Source organism: Homo sapiens, chromosome 8, assembly GCF_000001405.40.
Source record: "Homo sapiens chromosome 8, GRCh38.p14 Primary Assembly".
In the NCBI taxonomy this organism is placed as follows: Eukaryota; Metazoa; Chordata; class Mammalia; order Primates; family Hominidae; genus Homo; species Homo sapiens.
The window spans coordinates 42,020,463-42,043,047 of NC_000008.11; the positions used below are offsets into that span (position 1 = coordinate 42,020,463).

General features: G+C 38.1%; 1 protein-coding gene across 2 annotated transcripts in view; it reads right to left on the reverse strand.

The window, feature by feature from the left end:
• Positions 1–22,585, reverse strand: part of KAT6A (lysine acetyltransferase 6A) — a 122,509-nt gene that overhangs the window by 90,984 nt on the left and 8,940 nt on the right. The gene's annotated exons all lie outside the window — the stretch shown is intronic.

The following is a 22,585-nucleotide window of genomic DNA, read 5'->3' on the forward strand; positions in this document are numbered from 1 at the left end:
TTCCCATCACCAGTTACATATACTTTGTTGTTATTTCTTTGGCTTCCCCACTTGCCTGACAGCAGACTATCTACCCAGCATCCCTAGTAACCCCAGTACCTAGCATAGTGTCAGGGACATAGACGTTCAGCAGAAATCTGCTGAATGAATGTCTGAAAATAAGCATATGATTTAAGATAATTACTCAAGAGTAAAAGATGGGTTAGTGCTACAGAAACGTGCTACTCAAAACTGTGTTTTGTGCAGCACTGTAATACTGGGGAGCTTTTTAAAAATGCAAAATCTCAGACCTCACCAAAAATCTGGAACTTCATTTTAGCAAAATCCCCAAAGGAAAACTTGAGAAGCAGTGCTATACAACACAGTGCTTAATTACATTACAGTCACTAGTTTCATTCCTAATATGAACCAGGCCACTTTGCATGGGGAAAAAACAGCTCTGTAACTTGATCCTTACCCTAATCTTGAGCTTTCAAGATATAAAATAAAGACTTATTTTAACAACTTAACAATGGGGGGGGTACTCTGCTTGTTGTTGTTGTTGTTGTTTTTTATGAGGAAGTTTGCTGTCCTTGTTACTGTTCTTTTATTGAGGAAAGAGAGATATACTGTTACTTCCAAATAGGGCCAAACTGAGGGGGAATAGGAATATTGTTTAAATATTTTGCCTTTCCCAAAGGAATATGATCCAAAAAATCCATCCTAATTTAAATAGATTATAAAACGTGACAAATGGTTTTATGTTATCTGTCTACTTCTATGTCATATTAAAATTTATGTGTTCATGAAAATTTCAAATGGTCTTAAAATGTGATGGCAATATTTTGTGAGTTAACAAACTGATACTTTGTTTTGTCTTGTTTTACTGGAGAAAAGAGAAGGAAGTCAGCACTATTTCTTGCTCTCTATTTTTGAAACAGGCTAAAAAACCACTGCAACAATGACATGATCAGGCTAAACACAATCTTTAAAAAGGTAAGGTTGCTTTATGAATTTTGTAATTTAGGTACTATTATAATACTATCCCTCTTTTACAGAAAAGGAAACTGAAGCTCATGGAGAATTAAGTAATTTAAAGATCAAATAACAAGTAAATGGTGAGACTGGAATCTCTGCTCTTAATACTCTTAACTCAAGTCCTAAACTAATGAGAATTTGTGTTGTAAAAAACTCAGGGAGTACTTTAGACCAGGCACAGTGGCACACACCTGTAATCCCAGCACTTTGGGAGGCCAAGGCAGGTAGATTGTTTGAAGCCAGGAGTTCAAGACCAGCCTGGCCAACGTGGAGAAACCCCATCTCTACTAAAAATACAAAAATTAGGCTGGCTAATTAGACACCTGTAGTCCCAGCTACTCTGCAGATTGAAGTACAAGAATCGCTTGAACCTGGGAGGCAGAGGCTGCAGTGAGCAGAGATCGTGCCACTGCACTCTAACCTGAACAGAGTAAGACTCTGTCTCAAAAACAAAACAAAACAAAACAAAACTCAGTTAATACTTTTAATTATTGCACAAGTTTAACAATTTCAGTTTATCTCAACTCCAAATGTGTATTTTTCTCTTTTAATGACTCTACCAGCATCTACATTCTAATATACTACGGCAAATCGTTTGACCTCTATGAGCCTTCAACACAGACAATCTTCTTTAAAGAGTTGCTGTGATCTAAATATAATACCTAGCATATAATATGTATTCAAAATTATACAGGTTTTCAAATACAGGTACTACATAATGGGCACTTAAAAAGACTGACAAACCTATCAGTATCAAACCTGATACTGTATCAGGTTTGTAAAATACTGTACGTAAAAAGTTACACTGTGGTAAGGTTAACAGAAATTTATCAGGTCACTGCTTTCAAATCAGACCCAGCAAAAAAACCTAGATATTTCTAAAGCAACATAGTAACAGTTTAAAAAAAAAAATTTGATTACCTCTAAGAACTGTACATTTTTTTTGGAAAATCAGGGTTAAAACAGCCTAACAGTACAAATACAAATTAGATGTTGTCTTTGGTCATTAGGCTGGAAGAGCAAACTCCCCTGTGAGTGAAAGCATGTAGTCAAAAGTGGGTAACGATTTTTCACTTGTCAGACTGCCAAAAATAAAAAAATTTACAGTGTGTTGCAAAGGGTATAGGGAAGCAGTTACTCTCACATACTGGTGATGACTCTCTATGGAGAAAAATACAGGAATATCAAAATTATAACGCCATAACACTCTTTAACCCAATAATTCCACTTCTAGGGACTTATAAGTGAAATGATATACAAATGAGGTTATTAATGCAGCACTATTTGTCATCACAAAAAAAATTAGAAACAAATGTCCATTAACAAGGGGCTACATATAAAAATGTATAAATTATGATACACTCATACAATGAAACATTACTAAGCCTAATGTACTGATATGAAACATCCTTTAAGATACAGTCATGTGTCGCTTAATGATGGGGATTCATGCTGAGAAATATGTCATTAGACAATTTCATCATTGTGCAACATCATAAAGTGTACTTACACATACCTAGACTGTATAGCTTACTACACACCTAGGCTATATGGTATAGGCTACAGCTCCTAGCTACAAACCTGTACAACATGTTACTATACTGAATATTGAAGGCAATTGTAACACAATGGTAAGATTTTGAGTATCTAAACATAGAAAAGGAACAGTAAAAATACAATATATAAGATTTTTTTAAATTAGTACACCTGTATGGGGCACTTACCACAAATGGAGCTTGCAGGACTAGAAGTTGCCCCAAGAAAGTCAGTGAATGAGTGGTGAGTGAACACAAAAGCCTAGCACATTACTATACACTAATACAAACTTTATAAACACTGAACACCTAGGCTACACTAAATTTGGAAAAAAATTTCTATCTTCAATAATGTTAACCTTACCACAATGTAACTTTTTACATTATAAACTTTTTAATTTCTTTTACTTTAAAAATTCTTTTGTAATAACACTTCACTCAAAACACACATTGTACAGTACAGCTGTACAAATATATTTACTTTTTTTTTTAAGACAGGGTCACACTCTGTTGCCCAGGCTGGAGTGCAGTGGCATGATCTTGGCTCACTGCAGCCTCAACCTTCCAGGCTCAAGTGATCCTCCCACCTCAGCCTCCCAAGTAGCTGGGACTATAGGCGCGCGCCACCATGTCCAGCTAATTTTTGTATTTTTGTAAAGACGGGGTTTTGTCATGTTGCCCAAGTTGGTTGCAAACTCCTGGGCTCCAGTGATCCACCTGCCTTGGCCTCCCAAACTGCTGCGACTACAGGTGTGAGCCACCACGCCCAGCCTACTTACTTTATATCCTTATTCTACAAACTTTTCTCTATCCAAAAAAAAAAAAAAAAATTTTCTTTTACTTTTTGTTAAGCATTAAAAAACAAACATTAAACATTAGCCTAAGCCTACACAGGGTCAGGATCATCAATATCACTGTATTCCACTGTCCCCATCTTTCCCCACTGGAAAGTGGGGTGATACCACATATGGAGCTGTCATCTCCTGTGGTAACAATGCCTTCTTTTGGAATACTTCCTGAGGGACCTGTCTGGGACTGTTTTACCGTAAACTCTTTTTAATAAGAAGGAGTACACTCTAAAATAATGATAACAACTATAATAAATACATAAAGCAGTAACAGGTAGTTGCTTATAATCAAGTATTATGTAGTATACATAATAGTATGTGCTAAGCTCTCATAAGACTGGCAGCACAGGTTTACACCAATATCACCACAAACATGCTGAGTAGTGCACACTATGTACACTATAATGTCTATGACATCACTAGGTGTAGAAACTGTTCAGCGCCACTGTAATAATTTTTAATATATTCATAATTGTACATCTTTATGAGGTACACGTGATATTTTGATACCTGCATACAATGCGTAATGATCAAATCAGGGTATTTAGGATATCCATCACCTCAAACATTTATCATTTGTGTTGGTTAACACTTGAAATCTTCTAACTATTTTGAAATATGCAATATATTGCTGTTAACTACAGTTACCCCACTAAGCAATGAAATTAGAACTTATTCCTTCTAACTGTATGTTTGTACCCATTAACCTCTCTTCATCCACCCCACCCCTCGCCCATCTCAGACTTTGGTAACTATCATTCTATTCTCTACCTCCATGAGTCAACTGTTTTTACTCCCACATATAAGTGAGAACGTGACAGCTGTCATTCTGTGGCTGGCTTATATCATTTAAAATAATGGCTTTCAGTTCCATCCGTGTTGCTGCAAATGATAGAGTTTCATTCTTTTTTGATAGCTGAGTAGTATTCCATGGTGTGTATATATACATATACATTTATAAAATTTTCTTTATCCATTTAACAACTCATAGATACTTAGGTTGATTCCATATCTTGGCTATTGTGAATGGTGTTGCAATAAATATGGGGGTATAAGTATCCCTTTGATATGCTGATTCTCCTTCCTTTAGATAAACACCTAATAGTGGAACTGCTGGATCATATGGCAATTCTACTTTCAGTTTTTGAGAAATCTCCATACTGTTCTCCATAATGGCTGTACTAATTTACATTCTCACAACGATGTATAAGAGTTCCCTTTTCTCCCTATCCTCACCAGCACTTATTTTTTGTCTTTTTGACAACAGCCATTCTAACAAGGTAGAATGGTATCTTATTATAGTTTTGATTTGTATTTCCCAGATGATTAGTGATGCTGAGGTTTTTTTTTGTTTTGTTTTGTTTTTGAGATGGAGTTTCCCTCTTGTTGCCCAGGCTGGAGTGCAGTGGCATGATCTCGGCTCACTGCAACCTCCACCTCCCAGGTTCAAGTGATTCTCCAGCCTCAGCCTTCCGAGTAGCTGGGATTACAGGTGCCCACCACCATGCCTGGCTAATTTTTTGTATTTTTAGTAGAGACGGGGTTTCGCCATGTTGGGTAGGCTGGTCTCGAACTCCTACACCTCAGGTGATCCGCCCTCCTCAGCCTCCCAAAGTGCTGGGATTACAGGTGTGAGCCACTGCACTTTTGGCTGGGCATTTTTTTATACACCTGTTGGCCATTTGTATGTATTCTTTTGAGAAATGTCTATTCAGATCCTTTGCCAACTTGTTAATAGGATTATTTGGTTTTCTTGTCTTTGAGTTGAGTTCCTTGTACATTCTAGATATTAGTCCCTTGTTGGATGAATAGTTTGCAAATATTTTCTCCCAATCTACAGGTTGTCTCTTCATTCTGCTGATTGTTTTCTTTGTTGGGCAGTAGCTCCTTAGTTTAATATATTCCCATTTGTCTATTGTTTGTTTTTGTTATCCATGCTTTCGAGGTCTTAACCATAAAATCTTTGCCTGTATCAATGTCCTTAAGCTTTCTTGTTTTCTTGTAGCTTCTTGTCTTATGTTTTCTTCAAGTAGTTTTACAGTTTCAGACCTTACATTTAAGTCTTTAATCCATTCTGAGCTGACTTTTGCATAAAGTGAGAAATAGGGGTCTAGTTTCATTCTTCTGCTTATGGACATCCAGCTTTCCCAGCATCATTTATTAAAGAGATTGTCCTTTCACCAGTGTATGCTCTTGGCACCTTTACTGAAACAGTTGGCTGTAAATACATGGATTTATTTCTGAGTTCTCTATTCTGTCCCAGTGGTCTGTCTGTTTTTATACCAATACCTTGCTGAATTGGTTACTACAGCTTTGTAATATATTTTCAAGTCAAGTAGTGTGATGCCCCCAGCTTTGTTCTTTTTGATCAGGATTGCTTTGGCTACTCAGGGTCTTTTGTGGTTCCGTAAAAATTTTAGGATTGTTTTTTCTATTTCTGTGAACAATGTTGATGGTATTTTTATGGGGATTACATTTAATCTGTAGATTGCTTTGGGTAATATGGTCATTTCAACAACAGTAATTCTTCCAATCCATGAACAGGGGATGTCTTCCCATTTGTTTGTGTCCTCCAATTTTTTTTTAATCACTGTTACAGTTTCCCTTATAGAGGTCTTCCACCTCCTTGGTTAAATTTATAACTAGGTTTTGTGTGATTGTCTTGGTAGCTTTGTAAGTGGGATTGCTTTATTTTTCCATTCTTTTGTTATTGGTGTATGGAAACACTACTGATTTTTGTATGTTGATTTTGTATCCTGCAACTTTATTGAATTTGTGTTATCAGTTCTAAAAGTTTTTTTGTAGAGCCTTCATGTTTTTCTACATATGAGATCATGTTGTCTGCAAAGAGGGACAATCTGACTTCCTCTTTTCCAATCTGGATGCCTTTTTTTTCTTTCTCTTGCCTGAATGCTCCGGTTGGGATTTCCAGTACTACGCTGAATACGAGTTGTGAGAGTGGGTAACCTTGCCTTATTCCAATTCTTAGAGAAAAGGCTTTCAGCTTTTCCCCACTTAGTATAACGTTAGCTGTGGGTTTGTCATGGATGGCCCTTATTAATGTTGAAGTATGCTCCTTTTATGCCTAATTTGTTGAGAGGTTTTATCATGAAAAGATGTTGAATTTTATCAAATGCTTTTTCTGCATCTATTGAAATTATCAAGATATTTGTCCACTCTATTGATGCAATGTATCACATTTATTGATTTGCATAGGTTGAACATGAACATATTTGAATATGCATCCCTAGGATAAACCCCAATTAATCATGGTGTGTTATCTTTTTGATTGTTGCTGGATTGTTTGGATTGTCTATCAGTATTTTGTTGAGGATTTTTGCATGTATGTTCATCAGGACTATTGGCCTGTAGTTTTCTTTTGTTGTTGTTGTTGTATTCTTATCTGGATTTGGTATTGGGATAATGCTGGCCTTGTAGAGTGAGTTAGGAAGAATTCCCTCCTCTTTAATTTTTTGGAATAGTTTGAGAAAAACTGGTGTTAGTTCTTCTTCTTAAGTTTGGTAAAATTCAGCAGGTAGAATTGAGAGGAAAGCCATCTGGTCCTAGGCTTTTCTCTTTTTGGAAACTTTTTATTTCTGATTCAATTGTGTTACTCATTATTGGGTGTTCAGGTATTGTTTCTTCCTGATTCAATTTTGGTAGGTTGTACGTGTCCAGTAATGTATCCATTTCCTCTGGTTTTCCAATTTGTTAGCATACAGTTGTTCATAATAGTTGCTGACGATCCTTTGTACTTCTGTGGTATCAGTTGTAATGTCTCCTTTTTCATTTCTAATTTATTTGGGTCTTCTCTCTTTTTTCTTGGTTTGCCTCGCTAGCAGTTTATCAATTTTGTCTTTTTAAAAAACTTTTCATTTTGTTGATTCTTTGTATTTTTTCAGTTTCTATTTTATTTCTGCTCCTGCCTTTATTATTTCTTTCTTTCTACTAATTTGAGGATTTAGTTTGTTCTTAACTTTTCTAGTTCCCTGAGGTGCAGCATTAGGTAGTTTATGTGATATCTTTCTACTTTTTTAATGGAGGCACTTATTGGCTGTAAACTTCCCTCTTAACTCTGCTTTTGCTATATCCCATTTGTTGTAAGAAATTTTTTTTATTTCATTCTTAGTATCTTCATTGACCCAGTGATTGTTCGGGAGCATGCTGTTTAATTTCCTTGTATTTATATAGTTTCCAAAGTTCCTCTTCTTCTGGATATCTAGTTTTATTCCATTTTGGTCTAAGAAAATACATGATATGATTTTGGTTTTAAAAAATTTGTTGAGACTTGTTTGGTCTATCCTAGAGAATGATCCATGTGCTGATGAGAAGAATGTGTATTCTCTGGCTGCTGGATAAAATGTTCTGTAAATACCAGTCAGGTCCATTTGGTGTAAAGTGTGGTTTAAATCCACAGTTTTTGCTGATTTTCTGCACAGCTGACCTGCCCAATTCTGAGCGTGAAGTGTTGAAGTCCCCAACTATTACCATATTGGAGTTGTTCTCTCCCTTTAGATCTAATAACATTTGCTTTATGTATCTGGGTGCTCCTATATTGGGTGCGTATATATTTACCATTGTTATATCCTCTTGCTGTACTGATCCCTTTATCACTATGTAATGACCCATGTTATCTCTTTTTGCAGTTTTCGACTTAATGTCCACTTTATCTAATAGAAGTATAGTACTCCTAATCACTTTTGGTTTCCATTTGCATAAAATATCTTGTTCCATCCCTTCACTTTCGGTCTATATGTCTTCATAGGTGAAGTAAGTTTCTTGTAGGCAGTATATAATTGGGTCTTAAAAAAAATCAGTTTATCTACATATTTTAAGTGTGGAATTTAATCTGATTCAAGATTATTATTGACAGCTGAAGACTTATCCTGTATTTTGTTAACCTTCTGGTTGTTTTGTGTATCCTTGTTCCTTTCTTCCTCTCTCATTGGTTGTCACTGCAGTTTGGTAATTTCCTGTGGTAATATTTGGGTCCTTTCTCTTTTTCATTTGTATGTCTGCTCTTCTAGTGAGTTTTATGTATTTGCATGTTTTCATGGCGGTACATATTGCCCTTTCACTTTCAGATTTAGAACTCCCTTAAGCATTTCTTGTAGGGCCATCTAGTGTTGATAAATTCCCTTGATTTTTTTCTTATCTGGGAAAGAATTTATTTATCTTTCATTCTAAAAAGACAGCTTTGTTAGGTGTAGTATTCTTGGCCAGTAGTTTCATTCTTCCAGTATTTTGAATATATCATCCCATTCTCTCCTGGCCTATAAGATTTCTGCTGTTAGTCTGATGGGGCTTCCCTTATATTGTGATTCACTGCTTTCCTCCTGCTATTTTTAGAATTCTCTGTCTTTGTGACAGTTTGACTATAATGTGCCATGGAGAACACCTTATGGACTGAATCTATTTTGAAATCTTTTAGTTTTCTAAATCTGTATGTCTGTATCTTTTGTAAGATTCGAAAACTTTTCAGTTATTATTTCAGTAATAATTCTATGCCTTTGCCCCTCTATTCTTCTGGAATACCCAACACTCAAATATTTGGTCACATTATGGTGTCCCTCCCATATGTCACATATGCTTTCTTATTTTTTTGTATGACAATTATTTCAAAAGATCTGTCTTCAAATTCAGATGTCCTTTCTTCTGCTTGATCTAGTCTATAGTTAAAAGCACTCACAGTTGTAGTTTTTTTTTGTTTTTTTTTTTTTGAAACAGGTTCTCACTCTGTTGCCCAGACTGGAGTGCAGTGGCATGATCACAGTTCAAGAGACAGGGGTCTCACCATGTTGCCCAGGCTGATCTCAAACTCCTGGGTTCAAGCGATCCTCCCGCCTTGGTCTCCCAAAATGCTGGGATTGATTACAGGCATGAGCCACCATGACCACCTCAATTATAGCTTTTATTTCATTAGTTGAATTCTTCAGTTCTACAATTTCTGTTTCTTGTTTATGTTATCTGTTAAATTTCTCATTCAGATCATGAATTATTTTTCTGATTTCTTTACATTGTGTACCCTTGTATTTCACTGAGCTTCTTTAATATTATTTTGAACTGTTTCTCAGGCATTTTTCTTTTTTTCCACTGGACTCTTTCTGGAGAATTAATATGCTCTGCACTGCTGGGTCCAGCTGGCATTGTGATGCTGCAGCCCTCTGGATGGACACAGGAACATGTCATCAGAGCACTACGGATATGGAGATTCAAGGGCAATTGGGCGCCAGAGAAAGATGTGGTCTAATAGGGGCTGGACTGTCAAAATGGCACCCTGCTGCAGCTCATTGGGTCTCGGACAAGGGGGCTCCAGGCAGCTCCCTATTTTCCTATTCTAGTATCAGGGCCCATGAAGGCCAAGAAGCTCTCCTGAGGCCAGATTACAGGAGTCCATGGTGGGAACACAGATCACTGGGGATCTGTCTCTTACCTGTTCTCCACACTGGGGACTTTCTCCCGGCTCCAAGCCAATCCCAGCCAGGCCAGCTGTTCACTTCCCTCTCTTCCTGTGCCTCAGAGGTTCCTCATCCTTTCCGTGTTTAATTTCAGTGTTCTCTCTTAAATGCTGCATTCAAAATGTGATTATCTACTGGCTGTTTTGGTCCACCTTTGTGGAGAAGGTGAATGTTGGGGTCCTCTAGTCACCCATCTTTAAGCCTCCTTAATTTCACCTCTCTCCATTAAAATTTTATTTTATTTTATTATTATTTTTTTTTTGAGACACAGTTTTGTTCTGTCACCCAGGCTGGAGTGCAGTGGCGGGATCTTGGTTCACCGCAAACTCTGCCTCCCAGGTTCCAGTGATACTCGTGCCTCAGCTTCTCAAGGAGCTGGGATTACAGAAGCCTGCCACCACACCTGACAAATTTTTTGTTGTTGTTGTTGTATTTTTAGTAGAGACAGGGTTTCACCATGTTGGTCAGGCTGGACTTGAACTCCTGACCTCAAGTGATCTGCTTGCCTCAGTCTCACAAAGTGCTGGAATTACAGGGGTTAACCACTGTGCTCCGCCTCTCCGTTAAAATCTTATGGGACAACTTTTGTATATGTGGTCTACTGTTGACTGCAACATTGTTATGAAGTGCATGAGCATATATTGTTAAGTGGTGAGAAAAAAAAAGTAAGATGCAAAAGAGTATGTTAAGGTATGCTGCCAAATGCAAAAAAAAAAAAGGGGGGGGGGACAGGAGAAATGTATACATAAAGTGATCATTTGTATACACATACAATCATTTCAAAAGGTACAAAAGAAACATACAGCTCACCGGCTGCCTCCCAGAGGGGAGCCAAGTAGCTAGGGAATAAGACTTAGAATAATACTTTTCACAGAATTCTCGTTTTTGTACTTTTTGAATTTTACACAGTGATGAATACATTACCTATTCAGAAAAGTGTTTTTAACTTTTAAAAATATTATATGGGTAATACAAAACAAATACTATCTTGAAGGAAGTGGCAAATGGTACTTTTCAGCTGAGGTATCAAGCATTTCTAGAATACATCTGATACCCTATTTTCTCCTTTTCATCTAGAGGCTATAAATTTTGAGAGGATAAAGAGAGCTGAATAATTTTTTTAATCAACCTAATTTCTATCATCCCCCTTCTAGTTCAAACATGATGGTTTCAATTATAAAAACACTCTATGGGCATCGTTAGAAAGTGCTGCAAGCTGGATCCAAAGATGAATAATACCTATGATTTGATAAATGGTTTCACAGATCTATGAAATAAATATTGAAGGAGCATTCACTTTTTTTTTTTTTTTTTTTTTTTTTTTTTGGAGACGGAGTCTAGCTCTGTCGCCCAGGCTGAAGTGCAGTGGTGTGATCTTGGCTCACCGCAACCTCCACCTCCCGGGTTCAAGCAATTCTCCCTGCCTCAGCCTCCCAAGTAGCTGGGATTACAGACACCCATCATCACAACTGGCTAATTTTTGTATTTTTAGTAGAGATAGGGTTTTGTCATGTTGGCCAGGCTGGTCTTGAACTCCTGACCTCAGGTGATCCACCCACCTCAGCCTCCCAAAGTCCTAGGATTACAGGCGTGAGCCACCATGCCTGGTCGTACTTTTTTTTTTTTTGAGACGGAGTCTCACTCTATCGCCCAGGCTAGAATGCAGTGGCCCGATCTCAGCTCACTGCAAGCTTCACCTCCCGGGTTCACGCCGTTCTCCTGCCTCAGCCTCCCGAGTAGCTGGGACTACAGGCGCCTGCCACCATGCCTGGCTAATTTTCTGTATTTTTAGTAGAGACAGGGTTTTGCCGTGTTAGCCAGGAGTACTTGTTTTTTAATGCTTGTCATTTTCATGAACTGTAGTCTTGCACAACAGGCAGCTTGATGTGGCTCAAGGAGTACTAAGATTGAACAGACCTAGGCTCTAGTTCCATTTATTACCTTAACTATATAATTCTGACTAAGTAAAACTTGGCAATCATAGCACCTGGACTGCCTATCTTTTGTACCTATGTACAAAATTGTTATATCAAAAAATATATGTATGTGAAAGCAAAATTCTTCAATATCTGAAATATTTCAATATTACCATCCATATAAAGTTTTAGGGGAACAGATTTTATTTCCCTTTTTCCTTCTTCTCTAGGTTTGTCCCGATTGGCTAAAGTTATGAGAAACAAAACTGTATTTTTATCAGTCTTCTTTCAAAGTTAATAAATTATGAAGACAACCCATTTGCAAAGCAATCAAAGAGAGCAAAAGGTGAGTTTTTATTTTACTAAAAATTATATAAAGTCTCAAAAAGACAAAAGCAAATATTCAGTAGCAAATTAATAGTTGGAGCTTACACAGCACATTAACGAATGCCACGTTACTCTTACAATGGAGGGCTAATGAGAACAGGAAGTGGGATGGCATCAACAAGAGCAAAAAGAGCCAATACACAGTGAGGCTAAAAAAGTGACAACAGTTGTGGCTGGCACACTGGCTGCCTTCAGCCTTCCTAATGATATGCTTTCTCAATGGTCTAATGCTTATTTAAAACCTTGGCTTTTTTTTTTTTTTTTTTTTTTTTTGAGATGGAGTCTTGCTCTGTTGCCCAGGCTGGAGTGCAGTGGTGGTCATCTCAGCTCACGGCAAACTCTGCCTCCCAGGTTCAAGTGATTCTTCTGCCTCAGCCTCCAAGTAGCTGGGATTACAGGCACCTACCACCACACTCGGCTAATTTTTGTATTTTTAGTAGAGACGTTCACCATGTTGGCCAGGGTGGTCTCGAACTCCTGACCTCATGATCTGCCTGTCTCGGCCTCCCAAAGTGCTGGGATTACAGGCGTGAGCCACTGTGCCTGGCCAAACCTTGGCTATTCTTACTCAATAAGAGTAATGTGTTTACCTCTGTCACCACTGATGTGTTCCTGGCCCTGTGGAATAATTTTCAGACAAAACAAATCCTTTTTTCTGCTTTAAAAGGCAGTAAGTAAAAAGATGTATCCTGCTGGCTTGGAAGTTACCCTATCACACCATAACCATCTACTCAAAGTGTGATATCAAGTATGAAAACTGCTTTAAAAATACAGAAGCATATAAAATGCAATGTTTGCTGGGAAGGGTGATGTCTTCGAAACCGAGAGCTAAGTTAGACATGTGATTTTTAAAATTCATATCCAATTAAACAGTTACTATGTGCATACAATGTTTTGCTTCTAGGCCTTTGTACATGCTGTTCCCTTTTCAGGAACTACTCTCTTTCCCACCGCACCCATTTGCTTCCCCACTTCACTAACTTCACATGTGACTTCCTCTGAACAGACTTCCCTGACTTTTTCCACCCCCTCCTCTGTGTTTCCACAGTGCTCTATTTTACTTCATCAGAGCACTTATCACCATGTGTATTTATTACAGAGACGATGTCTGCTTTACCTACTCTGTCACTCCTAATCACTGTGCCGGCCCCTGGAAGATGCTTAATACATATGAAACAACCCAAACAAAACAGTTAAAAATTTTTTAATTAAAAAAATTAAAAATAAACAAAACAATCAGATACTGCCAGATAGATGGAAATACAAAGACGAAAAACAAGAACCTAAATTCACTAATAGGAGACAGGCTAAAAAAGTACTATGTAAAATGGTCTATGATGCAAGTGTGTACGGACATATGCAGCATGGAGATTAAGACAGGTCTTGAAGTCAGCCTGGGAGCAGGGTGGGTGATAAGGAGGAAGAAACAGAAAGAAACTTGACTAAACTAAGTCTGCAAGGTTGAAGAGCTAATTTATGAGGAAGAAAAAATGGATAACAATCATTCCAGACAGGAGAAAAATATAGGGGCAAGGGAAAACAAGATAGATCTGAGGAACTGCAGGGAGACTGATGCAGTACAATGGCTCTCGAACTCAAGCGTGCATCAGAATCGCCTGGAGGACTTACTAACATACGGGTTGCAAAGCCCCAAATTCAGTTTCTGATTGAATAGGCCTGAAATATGGCTCAAGAATCTGCATTTTAAACAAGTTTTTGGGGGATACTATTGCTGGTGCTGTCCTCTACATCCACACTTTGAGAACTGGTACAGTGGAACACAGAGGGCATTATGAAGAAGTGGCAATTGACAAGTTTGGAGCAACGCACGGGAATGGGTTACAACTCATATATACTATATCGCAGAATTTGGTACTGAAGGATTTTAAGCAGAGAAGTTTAATTTTAGAAAGATGGTAATAACAGTTAACATTTATGGAGCACTTATGTGCTAAACACTATTTCTAAGGACTTTACATATTCTGTACTGTCCATTATAGCAGCTACTAGCCACATGTGGCTATTTCAATTAAATTATAACTAAATAAAATTTAAAATTCAGCTCCTCACTCAACTGGCCATATTGCAAGAGCTCAATAGCTACACATGGCTCTGGCTATCACAGAGGGCAGTACAGATATAGAACATTTCCATCATTGCACAAAGTTCTGTCAGCCCAGATGTATATTAACTCATTAAATTCTCACAACTTCACTATGAGATAAGCACTGTATTATCCCCATTTTATAGAAGAAAATGTGGCAAAGAATGGTTAAGCAAATTACCCAAGGTCATAAAGCAAGTAGTCCCAGTGTGGGATAGAAAGCCCAGATGGTCTGGTCTTTGCGCTTGTGTTCTTAATCATTTCTTAGTAAGATCATTTTGGCAATAATGTGGACTAGACGAAGATGATACTGGAGGAAGGAAAATCAATGAAGAAACTACTAAGGTAATCAGGAGAGAAATGATGAGGACCTGCTCTAACAGAGGACCTCGAATACAGAAGAGGTTAAATAAGAGATGTTAAAAAGTGTAAGAGAGAAGACATGGGATGGAATAGAACTGAATCCAAAAGACAGACAAGTGAGGTATGGAAGATGACACCAAAGTTTCCATTTTAAGCATCAGAATCGATGGCAATGGCTCTTACCACTGTAAGAAATGACAGCCGGTTAAAGGAAGTTGATAAATTCCATCTGAGCCATTGTGAATCTGAAGAGACTGACATAAAATACTACACAATGGAATATACAAGTCCAGAGATCAGAAGAGAGCTCTCAAATTAAGATATGAAATTAGAGTCATCAGTAAAGAACACAGAGGTCTAGAAATAACTCAGGAAAGTTATCTCTAGATAACTCTCTAGAAAACAGTAAGAAATGAGTGAAGAACAGAACCTTAGGGAATCCAACATCTAGATACAGGCAAAAGATAAAACGCCAATAAACTGAAAAGGAATTACCAGAAAGATGGGAGGAAGGGGGAGACATCTAAGAATTATCCCAGAGGAAAGGGAAGAATGGTCAACAAATGCTAAATGCAGCTGAGAACTCAGGTAAAATAAGACTGAAAACTGTCCACAAGAGCAGTTTCAAATAGTGCTGCTCTAGGGCCAAAAGCCAGATTGCAGCAGACGTGGAATGAATATAGACTTTTTTCAAGAAGTTTAAAAATGAATGGAAACAGACAGGGTATACATAGAAAGAAGGATCTGCAGTGGTTTTTTGGTTGTTTTTACTCTAACGGGAGAGTCTTCTGCCTGCTAAGGACTAAAAAGTGAGCGAGAAAGATGATAGAGTCAAAAAATGGGACTATTTTTGATGGCACACGGCCCCTGAGGTAGCAGAGAATGGGGTCCTGAAAAAGAATGGAGAGATGAGCCTTTCACACTTCTTTCACTGTCCTATGACAAGGTAGCAAAGCGGGCAGAAATAAGCACAGATGTATTTAGGATGGCATGAGAGGGGTATAAACTCAATGAGCTCAATTGGACAGATTCCATTATCTCTATGATGTAGCATATGGGAGTATCTACTGAAAATGAGAAAAAAAGGTGGGAAGAAATACTGAATTTCTGCAGACAGAACAGACTATACACAGACATACATCTTCAAGCAGAGGGCAGAGCTCAGATTGGAGGCCACAAATTTGTAAGTGGCATCCCACCACATGGTCATGAGATTTTCCCCAAAGTTAAAGCAGAGAGGTTGGGCACGATGGCTCATGCCTGTAATCCCAGCACTTTGGGAGGCCAAGGTGGGCAGATCACCTGAGGTCAGGAGTTCAAGACCAGCCTAGCCAACATGATGAAACCCCGTCTCCACTAAAAAAATACAAAAATTAGCCAGGGGTGGTAGCAGGCACCTGTAATCCCAGCTGCTTGGGAGGCTGAGGCAGAAGAATCGCTTGAACCCAGGAGATGGAGGTTGCAGTGAGCAGAGATCGCACCACTGCACTCCAGCCTGGGTGACAGAGCAAGACTCCAACTCAAAAAAAAAAGGAGAAGGTGGTAAATGGCTGGAGTTTGCCAACATGATGCAGGAGTAGTGAGTGAGTGAGAATGTGCCATAAGGCCAAGCAATGAGAACAGCATTAGAGTGATGGCAGGGCACCTGTCGGAATCATGCAGGTAACTTTCTCGCAACTATATACCACACAAGATCTTCTTGAGATAAAGCAGTGAGGGTAAGGAGAAAGAAAGGTGGAAGATTAGAGTAGTTATAGCCAGGGAGGACAATAAAACAGAATGTACATTTCCAGAAGTACACTGTCCTGGGTCCAAAGTGTGTTCATGAGGGTGTGTGTGAAGCATGCTATTTCATCATTTGTTTGAATGTCAATTATGAGGTTAAAAAGTACCTGCTTCTTCTGTCTTCTGACTCTCTTAGCCAGTCCCCACTACAGAGATGTTGGTTCTAAGCATTAGAGCAATGGTTCTCAACCCCAGCTGCACATCAGATAAACATTCTTAAAAAAATAAAAAATAAAAAAAACTGAAACCTGGGCCTCACTACTAGTCAAATTTAATTAGTTTGGTATTTATTTTTTAAGCTTCCTCAGGTAATGCTAAAGTGAATTTAGTGCCAAGTACCACTGCTTTCCAAAGAATAAGGCTTTGGATTTATGTTACAGAATTAAAGAAAAACTGAGTGGCATGGAAAAAAGTAAGGCAGGAAAATGGTGAAAGAGGGTTTAAATAGTAAGTTAGATATTTAAAGATGCCCTGAATAGAAAAATTGGGAAACTATTAAAGTACAGAATCACACTCCACACACAAAAATAGTAATAATGTTTCTGAGAGTTCTGTTAAAGGTTCTAGAAAACTCAGGAGTTAAATGCTTCACTGTACCCAATGACTAAGAAAAAAGGAACCTAGACTTTACTAAGCTCAAAGAATTAAAAACCAACACTTAGCAGCTCTTCAGGTCAACTACAGTTCACAATTCCCTGGAGGAAAACGCAGCCCATAGTACAAGTCTGACAACACCTCTAGATCTGCGGAATCACCTATTCTACATAAAAGGTAAACGGCAAAAGAAGCAACTATCTTCTTTAACACATTGAAAGCTTTTTTTTTTTTTTTGGCTGCCAGATTTTATTTCCACACCAGTTATCTTCTTCTTAACAAGTTACACCTATAATCTTAAAATCGCCCAGTTATTTTACAAACATCTGTCCTCAATCTTAATCTTTATTTGCCACTATCCTAATGTACTTGCTAAGTTTTACAGCAAAGCAGAAGTGATGCAGAGATGAAGTGTTAGTCATAAAGACCAATAAAGACAAAAAATGATGTGCTGTCTGCGGTCTTCCCCACACGGTCTGTTTACAAGTAACATTACAAATCTCTCAAGCTCCTCCCAGACACTATGTTTATAGAAGTGCTAGACTATACACTTTTGGTCCACCCATATTTAATGTCTTTGGTAAAAATTACTTCATTAATTAATAGAAAGGTTTGTACCTTGCTATCTCTAGCTCAGTCTCAAGAATTTTAAATTCTAACCAATGATCCAAGTCACTCAGAGGTCATTTGTGTTGCAGACCTACTGAAAATTAGACTTACCTTTAAATGGACTTTTTTTCCCAAAACTCAAGGAGTACTTTTTCTTCCAGCATTAAGGTAGCTCAACATGTTCCCCTTCTAATATTTAGCCAACAACATAAGAAAACCTTGATTCCTCTAACTTGGGCCATAAGAAAGCAGTCTTTTCCCAAAAAGTTGTTTCAAAACTCTAACAAGAGTGTATAGCTATTTTCACACACTGAAATAGCAGATTTATATATTTGTGGTTTACGATACCACCAATATTCTCTAGACAAGGTTTATTCTATGGTTTCCATTAAGGAAGAGAATTCTAACTAAATTATTTTAGGCTCACTGCTCTCTAATACTATAAAGCAGTACTACAGCATAATGAAAAAAGCACAAAATTGAGAAGGGCCTGACCAATTCTTCCAGATGGTATTAACTGGCTGTGTGGCACTGGACAAGACACTTCAACCTCTTTGGCTCTCAAATTTCCCTATTATTTGTGAAATCAGATTAGAATCACTGTGATCCAAGATTGCTACTGGCTGAACATTCTACACAATGCAGAAGATACAAGTCTTTTTTTCTAATAATCTATGTTTCGTAAGCATAATACAATTCAACCATAAAAGATACCTCAATCAACACTACAGCCAGACTTACTTTTCCTTAGCAGTCTTTTTTTTTCTTTAAATTGCTGACAGTTAAAAACTATTTTGACCCAGAATGGCATACTACTATAATCTCTATGCTTAATTTCAACTCCTAATAAAATAGTGCCACACTACAAATGGTTTCTTCACCTGTTCCCTAATGAAGTTGAAAATAATTCCTTGGCCTTGAATTTACAGATACATGTACAGGGCTGATGAAAGCCATCTGCTGGGAACTATGACTTTCATATGAAAGGAAAAAACCAGAAGGAACTGCTTTCATTTTCCTGGGAACCAGCTGCAGCTGAATGAGTCCTAATCCTGCTCCAGCTGGGACAAGCAGAAGGGTGAAGTTACTCCTGGTCTAATTCATTCGCTGCAGATCCTTTGTGAAATGACTCCACCCCTGAGTAGCCAAGTGGTAAATAACTTTATCAGAGTGAAGCTCTTAATAATTCCTATACATAAATCAGAGCATGAAAAGTATTCATTATTATAATTTTAAGAAACACTCTCCAGGTCACCAGAAAAAAATAAATTTTTAATTCTATTTAAACCAGCAAACTCCGCACCTAGATTTAGTCCTCTTACATAGCTAAGAACCAAGTCAGTATGACAAAGATATTTTCTCCAAAACTTTAAATGCAAAGAGAAAATAAATCTAATAGATGTTAAGGAGATTCTTACAGCTTCAGGAAGACTGAATGATATAAATTTTCTTTCCAGATTCATCACAGTTCCTGTTATGTATTTGCTCTCCTAGTATTAAACATAACAAAAAAGTATTGGCCCACAAGTCCAGGATGAACTAAAGAAAAAACAGGCAGCAAGGGTAAAAAGAAATTTAATGTATTTTGCATTTCCTTATATTCATTTTCCATTTGGTTTTCTATAAGACATAATGAAAACTTGTATTATTATTATTAATTTTTGTTTTTTTTTGAGACGGAGTCTCACTCTGTCACCCAGGCTGGAGTGCAGTAGCGCAATCTCGGCTCACTGCAAGCTCCACCTCCCGGGTTCACGCCATTCTCCTGCCTTAGCCTCCCAAGTAGCTGGGACTACAGGCGCCCACCACAATGCCTGGCTAATATTTTTTTTTTTTCTTTTGTATTTTTTAGTGGAGACGGGCTTTCACCACGTTAGCCAGGATGGTCTCGATCTCCTGACCTCGAGATCCGCCTGCCTCGGCTTCCCAAAGTGCTGGGATTATAGGCGTGAGCCACCGCGCCCTGCCGAAAATTTGTATGATTAAATACTATTAAATACCTATTATATAAATATATTATGCCTATAAAATTTAATCATATAGAATTCTTTTGAGACTTCAATAAGAAAGTACATGTTAAAACACTTAAAAAAAAAAGTCCCTAACACATCATCAGCCCTTAACAAATGTTAGCTATTAATAGGTTTCTATAAGCAACTCTTTACGTTCCCTTAGCCTATTGATACAGAGCAAAGAAAAAACGAGGTTAAGACCATTAGAACCTCTGGATTTCTATTCCTGAAGCCATTTGTGGTACCCGATGTCTTCATTAATTCCTTCCCTTTATTTCACCAATTGGAAGGTAGACCAAGAAAGAGTAAAGTACTTATTCGCTAGAAAAATGTCTAGGTTGTAAGCATAAGAAAAATTGGTGGCTGGGCATGGTGGCTCACACCTGTAATCCCAGCACTTTGGGAGGCCAAGGCGGGTGGATCACCTGAGGTCAGGAGTTCGAGACCAGCCTGGCCAACGTGGCAAAACCCTGTCTCTACTAAAAATACAAAAAATTAGCCAGGCGTGGTGGCGGGTGCATGTAAACCCAGCTACTCGGGAGGCTGAGGCAGGAGAATCGCCTGAACCCAGGAGGCGGAGGCTGCAGTGAGCCGAGATCGCACCATTGCACTCCAGCCTAAGTGACAAGAGCAAGACTCTGTCTCAAAAAAAAAAAAAAAAAAAAAAAAAGAAAGAAAGAAAGAAAAGAAAAATTGGTTTGGTATAGAACTTTGGATTAGTAATGGCTAACCCAAGCTTTAGTAGCTCAGTAGCTTTATTTCGAGGTATGTCATGCACTGAAAATTACCAAAAATCATTGTGCTCATAGGTGAACCAGAAGATCAAAAAAATCTGCACAGTTGGCCAGGTACAGTGGCTCACACCTATAATCCCAGCACTTTGGGAAGCCAATCAGGAGTTTGAGATTCGTCTGGCCAACACAGTGAAGCCCCATCTTTACTAAAAATACAAAAATTAGCCAGGCATGGTGGCGCATGCCTGTAATCCCAGCTATTTGGGAGACTGAGGCAGGAGAATCACTTGAACCTGGGAGGCAGAGGTTGCAGTGAGCCAAGGTTGCGCCACTGCACTCCAGTCTGGGCAAGAGTGAGATTCCGTCTCAAAAAAAAAAAAAAAAAAAAACTGTGCAGCTGATTGTACTTAAACAGATACTATTTTACAAACATATCTCTGAGTTATTTTTAAATTTCTGAATTTTTGAAGAATAAATCTGCTAAGACAAAATTAATTCCTAACCAGATTTACAATTAATCCACCTCAATGACTTGTTAGTAACAAATTTTTATTTCTAGGCCACTGCTCCTGGTACATTTGGAGTCACAAACAAATGGTATAAACAATGATGTCAGAAATGTACGGCATGGGCCGGGCATGGTGGCTGACGCCTGTAATCCTAGCACTTTGGGAGGCGGAGGTGGGCGGATCACCTGAGGTCAGGAGTTCGAGAACACAACTGGCCAACATGGTGAAACCCCATTTCTATTAAAAATACAAAAATTAGGTAGGTATGGTGGCACACGCCTGTAATCGCAGACAGCAGGAGGGGAGAGGCAGTAGAATTGCTTCAACCTGGAAGGCGGAGGTTGCAGTGAGCTGAAACTGGGCCACCGCACTCCAGCCTAAGCAACAGAGCAAGACTCCATCTCAAAAAAAAAAAAGAAAAGAAATGCATGTCATAAAAAATGTTTAAATTATTAAATATAACAATTACTGAGATCAATCCATTTCACACTTGATAATAGCTACATTTTCCACGTCACTGTATCCTCAATATTTTATCTTTTGCCTTCAGAAGATTTTTTGTTTTTTTTGTTTTTCCAAAGTGAACAATCATTCTGTCAAGCAGTCCACATAGCCCTGAATTTAATAGCATGGACAACTATTTATTGCCTTTTTATACAGTATCAACGCAACAGAGTAATTGAAATTGAAATTTCCAAGCTTATATTGGTTAACAATTTTCTTATAAAATACCACCATTCTAACATATAAAATGTGCAACTATTCTACTATAAAGGTCATTTCCAAATAGCTAAATCAAAACTTCATCACTCTTAACTTTCAGTAACTTAAAAACATATCCCTGGCCGGGCACGGTGGCTCACGCCTATAATCCCAGCACTCTGGGAGGCCGAGGCAGGCGGATCATGAGGTCAGGAGTTCGAGACCAGCCTGGCCAACCTGGTGAAACCCCATCTCTACTAAAAATATAAAAATTAGCCGGGCATGGTGGCATGCGCCTATAATCCCAGCTTACTCGGGAGGCTGAGGCAGGAGAATCGCTTGAACCCAGGAGGTGGAGGTTGCACCACTGCACTCCAGCCTGGGCAACAAAGCAAGACTCCATCTCTCAAAAAAAAAAAAAAAATCCCCATTTTAATCAGTATCTCTACATCGAAAATTTAAATTCTAAATTCCTGTCAAAGCTCTACTTCCTCTATAATTTAAAATATAAATTCCAATAAAACAAAATAATTTGGACTCTACTAAGAGTTGACCAAATTGAGATGTAACTTAGAGTAGAAGGCAAGAGATTTATCATTGGATCTTTCTGCTCCAGGTTACCCAGCTGGGAGTAACCTGAACAATAACATTAGTTGACAATACCTACTCTTCCCTGTCCAACTGAACGCTTTAGCAAATTATAATTCTGTTCCAAAATACTATGCCACCAAATAACAATACTTTTAATGATCTGGCTGATTACCATGAAAGAGAATATTTTTCTGGGCTAGTAATACAGAACACAAACTATATATATTCAAGTAAATTATGTCAGTGTGTAAAAATGAACTCAGAAGTTTGAAATCAAGGTGAAAACTATTCTTGAAAGGAAATTGAATCTTTCCAAGACTCACTATATAAAGATAATTTTTTAAATGGACCATCACAGTCTCAAATAATTGCCTTGCCCACTAAACATATTATTATTTCTGAGTCATGATACTTAATTGTT